This window comes from Homo sapiens, chromosome 12 (assembly GCF_000001405.40).
Source record: "Homo sapiens chromosome 12, GRCh38.p14 Primary Assembly".
Taxonomy (NCBI): domain Eukaryota; kingdom Metazoa; phylum Chordata; class Mammalia; order Primates; family Hominidae; genus Homo; species Homo sapiens.
The window spans coordinates 44597835-44614849 of NC_000012.12; the positions used below are offsets into that span (position 1 = coordinate 44597835).

At 35.4% G+C, this 17015-nt stretch overlaps 1 protein-coding gene across 6 annotated transcripts in view; it reads right to left on the reverse strand.

Annotated features, from left to right (window-relative positions):
• Positions 1-17015, reverse strand: part of NELL2 (neural EGFL like 2) — a 413574-nt gene that overhangs the window by 89560 nt on the left and 306999 nt on the right. For all 6 annotated transcript variants that reach the window (XM_011538396.2, NM_006159.2, NM_001145110.2 and 3 more), the window contains 2 exons: positions 13014-13136; positions 9335-9430 (listed from right to left, as the gene is read on the reverse strand). In XM_011538396.2, coding sequence (XP_011536698.1) covers positions 9335-9430; positions 13014-13136 — 219 coding nt within the window. The remainder of the gene's footprint in view (positions 1-9334; positions 9431-13013; positions 13137-17015) is intronic.

The window sequence follows — 17015 nt, forward strand, 5'->3', positions numbered from 1 at the left end:
ACACAATGAGTGTGGGCCAAAGATGGAAGAGATCAGAATTAAGGATCTAGAAATGTTGAGGGCTGAAAGCAGGACAAATGCAGGAGATGCTTTTGTTTGTCAAGTGTCATAATGTTATTTGATCCCATTGTTCCTACAATTTGAATAGCTCTGAATCTTGATCCTGTCTTTTGTCATATAAGCTACCCTCTCAAAACTGTCATTCACAAATTTGATTGTTCTTCTTTAACTTGGCCCAAAATCCATTATTTGCTATTTAACTTGATCCTTGTGCACCACATTTTACTGTAAGTCTAAAAAAATTAACCTGGAATATAATTTATTCTCTCAAAAAAAAAAAAAAAAAAAACAGTAAGTTTTTAAGGGAGAGTTATCTATTAGATGGATAGGGCTGACTGCTGTAAGGTTTTTTTTTTGTACCTAAGTCCTAGTGGCTTCTTCCAGAAAGTTTCCATGACAGAAAGCAATAGACACTGACCATAGATGAGAACCCTTTGGGAAGAAGTACAGACTCTGGGAGCATTAGAAATTTAGGAACGGAAAAAAACAGCCTCATCCCCCAGCTCCATTCCTAGTAAACCTCATAAACTTCATATCATTATTGTTTTTTCCTATGTTCCTCCTCATTTACATTCTCTCATCATAAGTTTCACCTCACAGTCTGCAGATTTCTGAATGGCCAAAGTTCATCACTCTTAGGAGTCATTCACTGAGCATCAGTGAAATCATACTTATGTTTAAAACAGGTGATTTTCTTTCTTATTCCAGCAATACTGAGACCTGCATAACCTGAAAATCTTTCTACATACACATGGCTTAAAAATATAATATTAAACTTATAACTGACCTCATTGAAAAAATGAAAATTCCTATGTGGCATAAGAAGCCAAACACCAGATATGGATTTATGGGCCAAGTGATTGACAACAGAGTGAACCTGGTCTTATAGGAGGCTCAAGACTCCAGCATAGGCAGAATCCTTGGAAGGCCTGCCCCTCAGTTTAAGAGTAAGAAAGAAATACACACACACACACACACACACACACACACTCTCTCTCTCTCTCTCTCTCTCTCTCACGCACTCACAGATAAAAAAAATCCACCAGCACAGGCGATTAGGAGGAGACATTATTTCTACCTATGCTTGAGTGGGGAGAAAAAGAAATGTTAGCTCTTACAGAATTTTGAAGTTAAAAATTTATATAATTTGTGTGGCATACCACTTGGCAAAAACATTAATGCAAATTATGCATTGTAATACCCCTGCTACACCTGCGGAAACAAATGTAAATTTTCCCTGGAGGGAAAAGATCTCAGACTTCACAGGTAAAGCTTCAATGAAGATAATAAGGTCAGACACCAAAAGTCCAAAACATATGAGGAAACAATCATGAGGCAAAAGTCAGCAAACACAATAAAAGATAATTTAGATCCCCTCGAACTTCAGGCAATAGAGCAATGCTGTAAATTTTATAATATAATATGAGTACGTTTAAAATTGTGAAAGACATAAAAGAAGGAATCAAAACCACAAGACAAAAATAAGAACTAAGGAAAAAAGAACCAAAAGATATGAGAAAGAGAACTCCTAGAAATTAAAAAGTTATTAAAATTTAAAAACTAACATAAACTAAATAATGGATCAGACAAAGCTGATGAATTCATCTGTACACTGGTGGATAGGTTTGAAAAATTATCAAAGGCACAACACTGAGAGATAAAGAGATGAAAAGTATAAAAGAAAGTGAAGAATTATAGAAAAGACAAGGGCCAACATATTTCCAGAAGGAGAGAATAAAGAGAAGGGGAAAGAAGCAATATCCGAAGGGATAAATATTGAGTGGATTCCAAAACGATGAAAGCGGTTAACTCTTCAGATTCAGTCGTCTAAAGGAGTCCCTAGCAAGGTAAATAAAAATATTAATAAATTCATACGCAGGCACAATGCTTTGAAACCACATACTCCAAAGAAAAGGGAACCTTGAAAGTAATTAGAGAGAAAGAGACTATGTTTTAAAATGAATTACAATTGAATTGAAAGCAGACTTCTGAACAGAAACCTCAGAGGCCCCCCAAAAACAATGGAATACTGCCTTCATAGTGCGTAGGGAAAACCTAGAATTCCGTTTTTTTTTTTTTTTTTTTGAGATGGAGTCTCGCTCTGCCGCCCAGGCTGGAGTGCAGTGGCGCGATATCTGCTCACTGCAAGCCCCGCCTCCCCAGTTCACGCCATTCTCCTGCCTCAGCCTCCCGAGTAGCTGGGACTGCAGGCGCCCGCCAGCACGCCCGGCTAATTTATTTATTTATTTATTTATTTATTTATTTATTTATTTATTTATTTATTTATTGTATTTTTAGTAGAAATGGGGCTTCACCGTGTTAGTCAGGATGGTCTGGATCTCCGGACCTCGTGATCCGCCCGCCTCGTCCTCCGAAAGTGCTGGGATCACAGGTGTGAACCACCGCGCCCGGCCGGAAAACCTAGAATTCTATACCCAAGAGTTGGCCACTAATAGAACTGCTCTAAGAGAGTACTAAAATATATCCTTCAAGAAGAAAGAAATGAAACAAATAAGGGAGGAATAGAATGCAAAAAACAAAAACAATTTCAGTATAAATAAAATGTTGCATTCAACAACGTTTCTCCAGCATATTAAGTTTATGCCTCCCCCGATTATACTTCTGATCAATAGACGTTCATCAGCTTATCTATATAAAAAAATCAGAATTTATGAATGAGAAAATTGCAGAACATTCTCAGCCAACACATGGGGGCACCCCCCAAAAAGAGAAAGATCTTGGCCCTAAGACATGTATTCCTATTGACACCCAGACTTTTACAAATTAAAAGTCTACTATTTGAATGGCAGAAAGCCTCAGCTTTCCTATTTGAACTACTCTGTCTAACAAGGACTTATCTATGGTATGATTTCCAGGATATTTTGTTAAGGGAAAAAGCAATGGTTGGGAAATGGCTATAAAGGAAATTTACTTTTCATTATATGCTCTTTGTACTTTTAAATTTTATACAATATGTACATAATGTTTATTCAAAATATTAATATTCAATTAATTTTAAAACAAATTTAAACAATTATCTTAAAAGTGACTCCATTTGGCTAGTTTCAAATAAAAAAATAAGAGGGAATAGGGATCCTGCGAATTCAAAGGCACAATACAAGTTAATATACAAAAATGATCTATTGAAAAAAATAATATTTTTAAAATAAAACTGAAGATCTTATCCAAATTCCCAACTAATTCCACTTGGCTTTTTTCTTTTTCTTGGAGACCTGCTCTCTAACAGCTTGAAAGCTATTTTTTTCCTCTTACATTTTCTCCATGATGTGTCCTCATTTCCAGTGTTAATTAGGTAGGCCTTACAACAAAAGAGTCTGAAAAATTTCCCCATCATAGTTGTTATCTATTATACACGACTGATATATAGAGTGAGTTAGATTTTTTCCAATTAACCTGAAGGACTTGGAAGAATGACTTTGAGATTTAACACTAAGAACTTTTGACTACTTTTTGAATAATATAAAGATTTATATTTTCATAAAAGATTAATTTTTAAAGTTTGCATTAGGACAAAAATAAAGCAATTTTAAGCAAATGTACAGAATGCAAATCACTAAATTAAACATTTTAAACCACTATAGTACAGTAAAATTATACTTAAAACTGGTTTATGAATGGATCAAGAAAACTAGAATCCTTTATTGCTCTTAACCTTTCTCTTATAACATCTCAGGGCATCTCCAGCTAACTCAAGGATGTCAAAGAGTCTCAAACAGTTCTGTCTATAAAAGTTTATTTACAGTTCAACTTAAAATTTACAAAATCATCATATCAGGTGTCATTTACTGAGTGCTTACCAAGTCTTCAACATGGTGCTATGTGCCTTACTTCATTTAATCTCTAGAACAAACCCATGAGATAGATATTACTATCATCTTTATTTTCTACATGCACAAATTAAGGCATAGTGAAAAAAAGGAAATAACATGAAAAGGGTCACATAGCTGGCTGGTAATAGAACTAGTTCTCAGGCCAATGTTTCTCTGACTTCAACTTTTGTGTTCTTGACCACTATGTTAAATTCTTCAAGGAGAACTGGGGTTTGGCATAACATTAAGCAATTAAAATCTTATTTAAAACAGATTAAGGATCACCAACATAAAGAGAAGTTACGTCTTAATTATCTAAGCCAATTCAAGCAGGGTACGGTCAAAAAGCCTTTGGTGAGAGTGCTTTTTGTTTGTTGTTTTATTTGTTCATTTTATAACAGAAAAAGAATCATTGGTATCTACACCCCTAATTCACACAAAGTTCATTAAAACACATTCATTTATCAAACATAATTGAATCACTTTTATCACTGGAGACAGTTTCAAGATCAGATGTGTCTAGTGAGTGAGCATGAGTGTAGATCCCTTAGGCAGATCAACAGAACCCTCCATGAGTATGTGCCCACTCTGCAAAATCTACCCAAGAGCTACTTTGCAGATCTTCCCTTGTAAAATTAAGATTCAGAAAACTGAATTTAATAGGATAGTAAAGAACTAGAAGCAAAGCTTCCTTAATTCCAAATTGTCTTTATTACAGTAAAGTATATTTAATGATTTGTGTACATGAAATTTGCATTTGTTCAGATAAAGCAGAATAAATTCAAAATAAAACTAAAAAATTCTTATTGGAAAAGCAGATGTATCTACAGTTTTTCTTTTTAATTTCTTTTTATCAAATTGTCTCAGATTTTCTTCTCAATTTCTCCTCTTTTCTCACATAAAGATATATATTTTGGTAATGTATTTCCACTGTGAGTCATATTGGTAAGAAAAGGTATGCCATGTCCCAACTGTTCTGAGAATTTTCCCTTGCTTCTGAATTTTTTTAGACTTCGTATGTAAAAATGATATACACTTATACATATTTCTGGAAAAAATATGCCTTAAAAAAACAAATATTAATGAAATCAACATATACCTTTTATGATGAAAAATGTGCTAATTTGGCCATGCCAGGAAATGTAATAGTTTGACATTAATAATAAATGCTAACTTTGGATATAACTAGCAAGATAACTTTTTTCTAACAAAAATAATTTCTATTATCCATACTATAACAGTAATAAAATAAACTTAAAAAAAATCAACCAACCTCAATCCATTTGAAGTTACTTTTGAAGTAAAGCAACACTCATGTAGGCCTCATGCTTCATTTTTGTCATTTTGAAACAACACATATTAAAAAGCTACAAAAACACTTAGGGGTGCAACTTAAATTTATATTCATTTAACAACTCACAAAAATAATTAAAATCTCATCTTATGCTTTGATATGTGGCTAAGAAATCCATTATTTGCACAGAAAAAAAAAGCATTTATCATCAAAATGTCTGATCTCTTCTTTGATACTGCAGCAATTTTTTTTCAGCTTTGCCATTTGTTACCAACTTTTTCCCAGTTATAAATATTTTAATTTGATTTAAGTCAGCAAGTGCTTGTAGGGGACTGTCAAATCTTTTAGAGTTATGCTTTAAATCATTACTGAAAGATTTGCTTTTAGTATAATAAGATAGCTTTGTATATTAATTAGATCATCAGACACATATTTGCTGAGGTTTAGCAATTGTGTAATAAATACAATATGGCAGTGATAAAGCTGTAAACCTTGGCACATAGCTTCAGCTTTCTAATACATTTTATTGAATTACCCAAGAAATAATCACCCTGCTAAATCCAAGTTAAACACCTGATGGAATCTTAGGATATTTAATTAAAAATGAAGTTATGCTGTACATGCGGGTGATTTTATACAGTGGCTAAAAAAGAAGTCCATAAAAAATTAATTTCGCTCAGTAAAAATCATACACATCGCCCTTTTGTGAAGTGGTAAATGAATGCAACCATTCCTACTAAGATACACATGATGCAGAAACAGAAATGAGGGGAGGGTGTTTCAGAAGAGACTTCAACTAAAGGAACAAGGGGTGGTAAGTGCAAGACACATTAAGATTTCAAAAAGCAAGTAAATCCTATTATTTCATCCTCAGTGATTCCACTGTGATGGCTCAGCAGATGGCCACTGGGGCTGCACAATAATTTCCTTTCTAAGCTATCAGGCAGCATCCAACTCCAGCAGGCCAAATTTAGGCCATTCCTATACTTGGAAATTTTGTCAATCTGGAAGCATCCTTTAACTTTGCAGAGAAAAACTGCCACAGTCTTCACTGTTAAAGACAACAGGTTGAAGGGGGCATAACAAAAGGCAGAGACCTGATGAAGGATGATGGTGTGATGAATTCCTGGGACGAAGCATGGCATAAGAAATAAAGGAAAGCAGGAAGAAAAGAAGAAAGAGAAGGAGGGAGGAAGGCAGGACAGGAAAGAGAGAGAGAGGAAGAAAGGGAGGGAAGCAAGGAAAGAGGAAGGAGTGAGAGAAAGGGGAAGGAAGGAAAAGAGAAACACTGGGCTAGAAATCAGAAGACCCAAGTTCTAGAATGTAGATCTGGATCAACAATGAAACACCTATATAAGCTACTTCACGTTTCTGTGCCATATCTGCCATATGATAGTACAGAACTAGATAACTCTGAAAGCTTCAACTAATATTCAGAAAAGTCCAACAAATATGGACACAGCCACACCATCTTTTTCTTCATCATTTAATTGATCACTCATGTGTGCATTTATTTATTCACCAAATATTTATGGAACAACTACTAAGAGGCAGGCCTTGTACTGTTTCGTGATGATACAAAAGCAAATAAGATACATCCTGTACCCTCATGAGATTCACTGCCTGGGGGTGGGAATGAAGTGAGATGGCAGAAGGACAAGAGGGTAAAGCTGGGTAGATATGCAGGGCCAAATCCTGAAGGGCCTTATTTATCATGTTAAAAATGTGGCCTTTATCCTGAGGGCAATGGGGAACATGAAAGTTTTTCTTCAGTCTGGAGTGATATGATCAGATTTGTGCTCTGTTATTCTGTGGATACTGGACTAGCCAGAGACAAACCTGAAAGTCCCCAACAACTGTAGCACTGACCAGAATAGAAAAAATGGACCCTGGTAAAGACAAGGAATCAAAAGGATTTGACTGGATGTGAAAGAGGACAAGAGGGAAATTGCTCCCTGATGACTGGCTTAGAAGACTTGGTGGATAAGGTGGCTATTCGCTGAAATAAACTAGTAAGGAAGGAAGAAAAGAATATTCAGGTTTTGGTAGAGGATGGTAACTGGTGAGGCATGAATCATGGAGGAGATAATGAATTCAGATTGAGGTCTTTGGATTTAAGGCCCCCCAAAGAAACATACTGGGATGCACTGGATAAAAGCCTGGATTTGGGAGCAGAATGACCTTTGTATCAGCTTCTAACTCTGATGCTAGGAAAAAGGAAAACATTAAACACCCTGAACCCAGTATTTCTGTATGCAAATACAGATAATAACTGCCTTAGAAGAGAATGGCGAAGAGTAAGGTGATGTATAAAGGGTACAACACAGAGGGAAGTTAAGTAACTTGCCCAAGGCAACATAACATATAAACAGTACAACTAAATTTTGAGTCCACATCTGTTCTCAAAGCCCTTGGCTGCCACAGACAGCTATTTAGAATCAGTCTGGGATTGTCTTCTTACAGACTGAAGGTTCAAGTATAATGAAATAGAGATAGCTACATGTTCTCTTGGGTTATTTTTAACTCCAGTCTTAAATATTACATTGCCAGTATTAATTTTATGCCATTCCAGATTTCTACAATCTTGTGATATTTTCTCCTAGTGGAAGAATCCTGTGCAGGATTGTGCACGGCCACTGTTCATCCCAGATTTTCTGGGACAGCTTTTATTTCAAAATTCCACACCATTATCTTCACACCATTGAAATGTCCTGAAAAAGCCAGTATTTCTGTATCCAGCCTCTGTACCAGAAGCGGCACACAAATATTGTATTCAGGAAGCCTTGTGATCAGAGGTGTTGATGTGCAGGAGGTCCACAGTGCACCTTGATGTGTAGGGGCAAACTGGTGGAGAGCATGCCATAGAAACATGAGAGGACTACTGCAGTAGAGGTGCCTGATTTGATTTAGTATATCATATGATAGTTACTAAAAACCTGTATTTCTAACAAGTTATCAATCTCTATAGGTGACTCTCATGCACAATAAATTTAGGGAGCTTCTGATTTAGGAAATGATCCCCTTAAGAAAGAATCCTACATACCAAAGATAGACACTATGCATTGTCCGTCACAGACTTTTGAAATCAGTCACTGAAGTTTGAAAAACACCACTTAGCAGTACTTATAGAAAGAGATGATCTAGTGATGTAAGCCCTTTTGTGAGCATCCTTCTGTGCACAGTAGCAGATTCTATTCAGTAAAATGTTCACTTCCCAAATGGAGCAGAACATTTTCTGTCTCACATTCTGGTAAATCAGTGTTTTTATTAAACTAGATGACTCTGCAAGTGGAATAGAGGCAGAGCATGTACTGTATCTATTGCATTGAGATTTATGAAAAGCAGTATGAGATGACAACTGTCAATTGCCAGTGGCAGAAGCTTTCTTTTAGGAAGAATAACCTGATTTTCTGAGGTCATCACTATTGGAACCTACTGAACCCAATGCAACCAAAACCACTACTAGTATGATTTTAATTAGGACTTAATACTCAAAACATTTTTTTAAATTCCCAAGATGTGTTTTTCATTGGACAACGTATTTTACTTTAGGGTTATAAGTTATATGTAGACTATATATTGTTTTTAAAATAATTTTTAAAGTTTTTAATATTCACGTCCATCAGAAAGAGTAAGTTCAGAATGGATCTGAATGAGAAATAATTGAGGAGTAGAAAACTTTAATTATTTTCCAGATAAATAATTATTAATGAATAATTAAAGGGCCAGATAAAAATTTATTAAAAATTCCTAATTGTGGATGCAGGTGATAGTGTGTTCTCGGCACTGAGTTGGCCATAAGCTTGAAATCTAGGCTTTAATATAGTCATATAGATTCCAGTAAAAATGGATTCCAAATGAGTAAAATGAATTATGAAGTCATAAAATCCTGGGTAATTCCACACATGTTTCTGAAAAGTTCAATATGCGTCTAGTTATAATAGCTGCAAAACCTTTTTAGAGTGACTTTGGGGAATCGCCCAGCGAAATGCATCACTGAAACTTCCCACCTCCTCCCTCCTATCACTTCCTTATTAATAGCTCCATGCTTTGAGAGCCCACTTGAAACTTGAAACATTATTTTCCTCATGGATTACTTTATGCATTGGCATAAAAATTCATTTTCTAGAAGATGAAATGATATTCTTACCCGTTTCACAGCTGGGTCCAGTGAAGCCTTGTGGGCAGGCACACACATTAGCGGCAATACAGGCTCCTCCATTCCTACAGCCATCTTTGCAAAATGCTAAAATAATTCAGATACATGATTTTAGCACTTTAGAAGTAAGTAGTTTAATAAACTCCAAACCTAGCTTTTCATTATCCCCTTGGAGATGTAAACATCAAATTATAAAAGCTATTTTAATTTTGTTTTCATGTAATATTTCCCATACATTTAAGAAACTTCAACACAACTTGTAAAACAGTACTCTTTCCAATGTTAAAGAAGTATTTCACCCTTAAAACAAAATACTGAAATTTATTTGAACAACAAACAGCAAATTTACACAATAGGAAGTACATTAAAATTCAGATTTCTTCTCATTGTAACAATCCACCTTGAAAATAAACCTGAAAATGGCAGCTATCCTAGATGGAGCAAACCACCATCTAAAGAACGAGACCATGAAACAGGAAATGGTTGAATCCCATGAGGCTCTGACCATTTTGCACACTAGCCAAAGTGCCAAAATAGTAGGAAATGTTCCATCCTTCAAAAATTTGTAAGCGGGTCCTGGTAATGAATTAACCAATAGTAAGAAAAATTCATTAGAGTGGTCTTCAGGGAGACTCTTAAATTCCTCTGCTAAGGATAGGTCAGAATCCAGGATCAAGGGCCAAGACACTATATAACCTGTTTTATCAGAGTGGTTTTGGGAATGAGGCAAGTTGTTCTGTGAGTAGGAAGCTGAACCATTGCAAGGGAGCCAAGGTCTGTACCATTGCAAGGGCGATCTCTTGAAATGTGCTGTCTTCGAAGAAGTGCATAAAAGAAGGAGAGAAGAGCAAGACAAGTGAGTACAACAAGAGAAGAAGAGAAAAACAAGATGGATGAGACTGAGCCCCCTTTAGAAGCTTTTATTTCCACTTTGGCTTATTCTTTGGCTCTGTAAGGCTCAGCAGCTGCTTCCTCAGCCTGACAAAGTCTATAATGAGTGAATTAGACCAGCTTGTTCCCGGCATTAAGACAAAAGTTTTCTCTATAGTTTTCTGGCATGTGCTTCCTCTAGTTAGGTAGAATACACTTTTTCAGAGTAATAAAATGTAGAAATCTGAAATTCTAGTGATGAGTTAAAGAAATGGACTCAAAGAGTCCATTTGGCTTCTTTGGTTTAAACCTCATAAGTGATAAAGAATGTGCGTGTCAGACCATGTACATATTTTCACTGGAGTAATTTGCAAGGTTGCAGCCTGTTGATACCGCACAGAACTCAATGATTCAGCTCCTACATTTAATCTACTTATCTCTCAGATTTTTCCCATTCCAAACAAAGATATACAGGAACCGAACAGTCTTTATTCGGGCAACCTGTAGTCCTAACTTCCAGAAGGAATTTATAGATCCTTGAAAGTTCTCCTTCTTTCAAATACAAGAATTATCTGTCTGCATCTGTTCATAATTTTCAGAGCTCTTTATTCTATGAACTTTATTCTTCATACTACATAGGAATTTGTATCAAGCAGAAATAAGAGAAAAGCTTTTGGGCTCCTAGATGAAACCTTAAGCCTAAGCAAACTCTCAGAACCTTCAGGTGATTTGGGGGAAGTCCTAAGGACTTAGTTATATTGTAGTCTCCGCTCATGCATTGGAAATGCATTTCAAGATCCCCAGTGGATCCCTGAAACCTCAGACAGCACAGAAATCTATTTTTGCATATATATATACATATATATATGTATATATATATTTTTCCTATACAGACATACTATGATAAAGTTTAAAGTATAAGTTATGCATAGTAAGAGATTAACAACAGTAATTTATAATAAAATAGGTCAATTATGTTGCATTTTGGGGCCATTAACAGTAAAATAAAAATTACTTGTTTTTGTTTTACCCATTTTGAGTTAGGTTTTGTACATGGTGTTTGTTTTTTGTTTTGTTTTGTTTTTGTTTGTTTTTTGGTGGAGATGTTGCCCAATCTGGTCTCAAACTCTACACTCAAGCAATCCATCTGCCTTGGCCCCCCAAAGTGCTAGGATTACAGGTGTGAGCCACCAAGCCCAGTGAAAATAAGGTTTACGTGAATACAAGCATTGTGATACCTCAACAGTGTATTTGATAATCGGGAAGGCTACTAAGTGACTAATGGTGGCTAGTTGTAGACAGTGTGGACACACTGGACAAAGGGATGATTCACATCCCAGGCAGCATGAGGTTGGACAGTGAGAGATCTCATCATGCTACTCAGAATGGTGCACAGTTTTAAACTTAAGAATTGTTTATTTCTAGAATTTTCCATTTAACATTTTCAGACTGCATTTGACTGTGGGTAACTAAAACCATCAAAAGCAAAACTGTGGGTAAGAGGGAACTGCTGTACTATACTTTACATTCTAAAAGTCTAGCTTTTCTCAGGATTTGTTTAGTTTTTCCAAGCAAATTTTTGTGGGATTTGAATCCCCAAATAATTAGGCCTTTTTCAAAATGACCTACACTGATGATTTCCATGGAGTTTTGAAAATCAGGGTAATCTTCTGGCCTACCCATCTCTGGCTACAGTGTATTTTTGTAGACCAGGCCTTAAGAACCATCCTTATAAGACACTGCGTTAACAACTATTCCTTGTTCTTTCCTACCTCACACAGACACGGTATCATAGCAAACTGATTTTAGTGAACTCTGAGATAAAGGACACGGTATATTTGAGAAATCAGCAGTTTTGAAGCTTAAAATGCCTAAATTGGATAAATCATATGACATTATAAGGGATGTAAATGTTATACTATGGGAGTTCACAGTTTCCAAAAAGGTCTTCTATTTCCCTTAGGAGGTAGGAGGGAAAGAGTACAGTGGGGGAAAAGGCGAGTTAATGGATTGTGGTGAACTACAGTTGTATTGTCTACTGATGGAAAAAGAAATCTGATTTCAATGGGACATTTAAAAGAATGATCAATCGGCATTAACAAAGAAGCTAAAATAGGAAACTATAACATGTAGAGAATCAATATTCATGGTTAATTAATCTTCCACAGTAGCCTCCGACAGCTCACAAGAGAGCAAAAAAAAAAAAACAAAAAAAAAAACTGTCCTACTGACTCAAAATGGAGTTGATTCACATGGTAGCATAACAAATAGGTTGACAACGCTGCCAGAAAACAGCTATGATGATGTACGCATGTTTGGGCTCGAAAAGAAACATCTGAAGCTGGGAGAGTGCTAAACTGGATGAAAAGGAAGGTTCAACGAAATTAAAGATCAAAAGGTGTAGAAAGAACAGACTGAGCAAACTGGAAGAAGAGGAACTTGGGATTAGACAATAGAATGTTGAAGTTTAAGACTTCCAAGATGGAGCAGTTCTCCACAAAAATGCCCAGGATGTGGTGATGGGTGTGGGTTTGATAGAAAGGAACAGAGATGAAAACCACTGTGGCTAAGGTCAAGGAACATTAGGTCAAAGGAGCTGAATGGTTTGGTCACTTAAACACTGAAGTAACCCAGGAGGATGTCAAGACCTGAGGGAAAGACTATGAGCCACACACCAAAGCTTTTGATGTCTGTAGGAAGTACCTGGAATGTACATAACAGTAATGATAAGGTGTAGAGGAAGGTAGAGATGGATGGCATTATACATAATGGAAGAGGCACTGGCATTTAAACCTTTTACCTTTGCATGTCGTTCCATTCCCTGTATAGCCCGGCTTGCAAACACAGTTGTGTCCTCCAACAGTGTTGAAGCATAAAGCATTTTCATCACAGTTGTGCTGATTTGTGATACACTCATCATGTTCTGAAATGAGGAATACAATTTTGTTACTCAAAGTTATATTTCCAAAGCTATATTTTAAACTACACCTTCAGTCTTGGTTATTGCATGGTAAATTCTTTCAACCACAGACATAACAAATTATAAATTATAGAAGAGCTCAGATTTTGAAGTATTATATACTCTTCTTGATGTACATACAAGTTCACACATTCACAAACATTGAATGCAAAATAATTTGGACAAAAGGCCTACCAACGGTTGCAAGAAATAGAGAGGGGAGGCAAAGATGAGGATTAATTCTAGAAGTAGACTACAAAGTCAGCTGTATACAGTTAATATTTGGGGAGTTACTCTCATGAAATAAATCTGTCACCTAACTCATCTCTGTAGCATGTGAACGATGTGAAATTGTATTGCTTTGTAAGTCATGACCTGTAGGATAATAAAGCTGAAGTTCTAGGAGTTAGGTGCCTGCCGTTAACACCTGCAGCCACACTTCCAAGCCTAAAGATACTTATGCTAACTGTCTGGGGAATCTTTGATCTCTTTAGTAAGTTCCCTCACTCTGCAAAGAAAGCAGCACAAATCTATTAAAAGACAAACTTGCTTTTGTAATATGTGCAAATACAAACTTTAGAATATGTAATCAATATAGTATCTGCTCTAACTGCTTATAACTTGAAACTCTGGAAAGCATTGAATTACTTGATCCTTACAGCACCCCTGTGGGAGAGGCAGAACCAATATCATTGTAACCATTTTCAAGGTGACTCAACGGTGGCTCAGAGTGTTTAAGTAGCCTGCCCAAGTTCACAGGAATATCAAGTAACTTCAGAATTCTAGCTCAGCATTCAGCAAAGATGTAAATGTAAGGAATAAATACAGTGAACATGAGAAAGCAAACAAATCTAACATCAAAATACAGATGAGGAGGAAATGCAATATGTGAGAAAATGCACACAAATTAGTTCAGCCATCTAAAATCCCTACAGTGGCACTACTTAGTACTCAGTCTCTTACATGAATATTATTCAGGCCTAAAACAAAATATACATTTTAATAAATTACATTGATTGAGCCATTAATTTCACGTAATATAAATCATGAAAGCAATGAAATATTTGATTTAACTTTAGAACTCTGTATTCCAGACATTATAATGGTAATATATCTGTAACTTGTCTTTGGCATAATAGATCTGTAACTTGTAATATATCCGTAAATTGTCTTTGGCATATACAGTTAAGGTTAGACTAAAATCACTTACTTCAACTACTAAAATAAAATGCCCTTCATTTAAAAAAATAAAAATTGTCATTTTGCTATGGCATTTTATGTCTCATTCTATATGAGCACAAAGTTATGATAGCTTTAATTATAACCCTGAAACTACATTCTTAGAGATTATTCCCAATAATCCTTTAGAGGAAAGAAAGATTTCAATCACCAAGGTTCTAGAACTGCACAAATGGATATATTATTTTCCAAATTCCTGGCTGAATAACCCAAAATTGTACAAAATTCCACCCATATTATCTAGTATCACAGAACATTTCATAGTTTTTATAAATTCATGATTACTACTGGTAGCTTAGAAAAGAGCTGGATTACACATGGGTCTCCTAATTGAGGCTACCCTTGGACCACCATAAAATTTCAGAAGGGCTAGAATGGGCAGCCCACCTACCTTTGGGTTCTGCTGCCTGAAGCAAAATAAATCTACACTTTGAATGAGGTTTGCACCTGCTGCCAATTTCATCCCCAGTGCAATTCGAAGTGCCGCAGTTAATCTATAAATCTCTATATGGACAGCCGTAGGCCCTTAAAACAGAGCTGCTGATTGATTTGATGCTGTTTTAATCCCTGCCTTGGTTGTCTTTTTAATTGGACCATACTCACCGGGTAGAGAAAGGACCTAACAAGATTCAGTTTAGCATCTAGCATGATAATGTTCAATAAACGCTAAATAATTACACAGTCTGGGACCTGGTTTCCTCTGTTGTCATTTACTCTCATGGGTACTGAAATGAGAAAGTGGGCTCCTAGGCAATTCAAAGGCAAATACAGTTCTGAAGGCTTTAAATGCATCCATGCCTTTACATATATATATATGTTCCCTGTGACTGAAGTGTCCTTCCCCACAGATTCTCCTGGAAAACACTTACCATTTTTAAACATTACAATAAAATGTCACGTATTGTGCGAAGATACCTTAGTCTCCCCCTCCTACAGAGTTAGGGGCTGCTATCTATTTTCCCTAACACCACATACAAGGTTCTATTATTCTCTTTTATTGTAATTTTATGTCCATTTCTCTTTAGTTCTCCATTCTTAAGCTCCACTCTGGGACTGTGAATTTTTAGACCAGATTTTTGTATTTTTCTTTGTATCTCATTTAAACATTCAAAGAAGGTTTCTTAAATAAATGATTAAATGAATAGATGGGGCAAGATAGGAACTACTTCCTTTGCCATCATTCAAGACAATCCCAGTTTGCTCAATTGTAGACTACATGCCAAACACAGAGCTCTTAAAAATCCGAGCTGTTTTTCACATTGATTTTACTATGGTGCAGTTTTATTTGATTTTGGATATTTCAAATATTAATTAAGATATTAGGACATCTTTTGAAAACAGAAAATATTAATTCCTTTACACTATCACTTTAAATCTTTTCACACTACTTAAAATAAAGTTGGTTATAGCTACAATTTATGAACTAATGTAAACTGTGAGCTTAAGAAAACCCTTTTTAAACGACTGTAGTCTCAAAGAAGATTTGATAATCCTTCACAAAAACAGAATATAAATGAAGCAACAAGCAAATATTCTGTAAAGTCATCTCAATAAATAGATAATTATTAGTGCTCCATTTCCAGTTTTGGTCAAATGTCAATTTCTCATCCTTTCTCTGACTCACACTTCCTTGAGGACTCCACCATCAAATCACTAGTTCGCCTCTCCATTTCTAGTACTTCCTCCAATACTTCCAATATATAGTAAGTAAAATTAAATAGAATAAGGAAGGAAATTCTAAGGTAAAATTTAAATCAATATTATGTTCCAATGTTTAAGAAGAGCATGTCAGGATGTAATAGTGAATAAATTTCAAGGTTTATGTCTCATATATTGAAAGGCAGACATTCAGGTCTGATGTTTGGAATATCCAATCTATAAGACTCAATGCTATCTTCATATCCTCAGTAAAAATTTCATTGTTTATATGATATGACAATCCAATTAACAGCTGGAAGTGAAATCAAATGCATCATTTTCTAGCTCCTCTTCATCAAAAATATCAGCACATGGTTATTTTAATCAGAATTTAATTATTCGTTGTGTCTATGAATTTGAAATTTAAATGAAATGAAAAAAGAAAAATATATCGAAGGAAGACACCATCACTCAACAATACTAAAAAGTAATTTGGATGTCAATCACTATGGAACATTATATATAGAATCTATAATTGTATAGTGATAGTTAGAAAATATTTTTCCCTGTGTGTCATAATTTCTTTGTTCTGCATCTGTACATACAATGTAAACCTGATTTCATACTAGTGATGAGGCACAATATAGTAAAGTTCGTCCATGGGAAAAAAAAGTAATAATATACACAGTTGGATGCATCTAAACGCAGATGTTATGTATAACAATAATACTTGGCTTTCACTGATTAACCCCTAAGTCAACCTGGGTATGCTAATGTATCTAAAATCATTTTAAGATTCCATATCCAACAGTGTCATCAGTCATAATAACATGGACTTAAGATGAGGTTTAAATTTGGTATTCATATTGAGCTGTTTGCAGAATGAATGTGCTACCTAGAAACAAACCAGCTGCTCTAAAATTCACATAGCTTTCCTCACTGTGATTTCAAAATAGATGTACAATA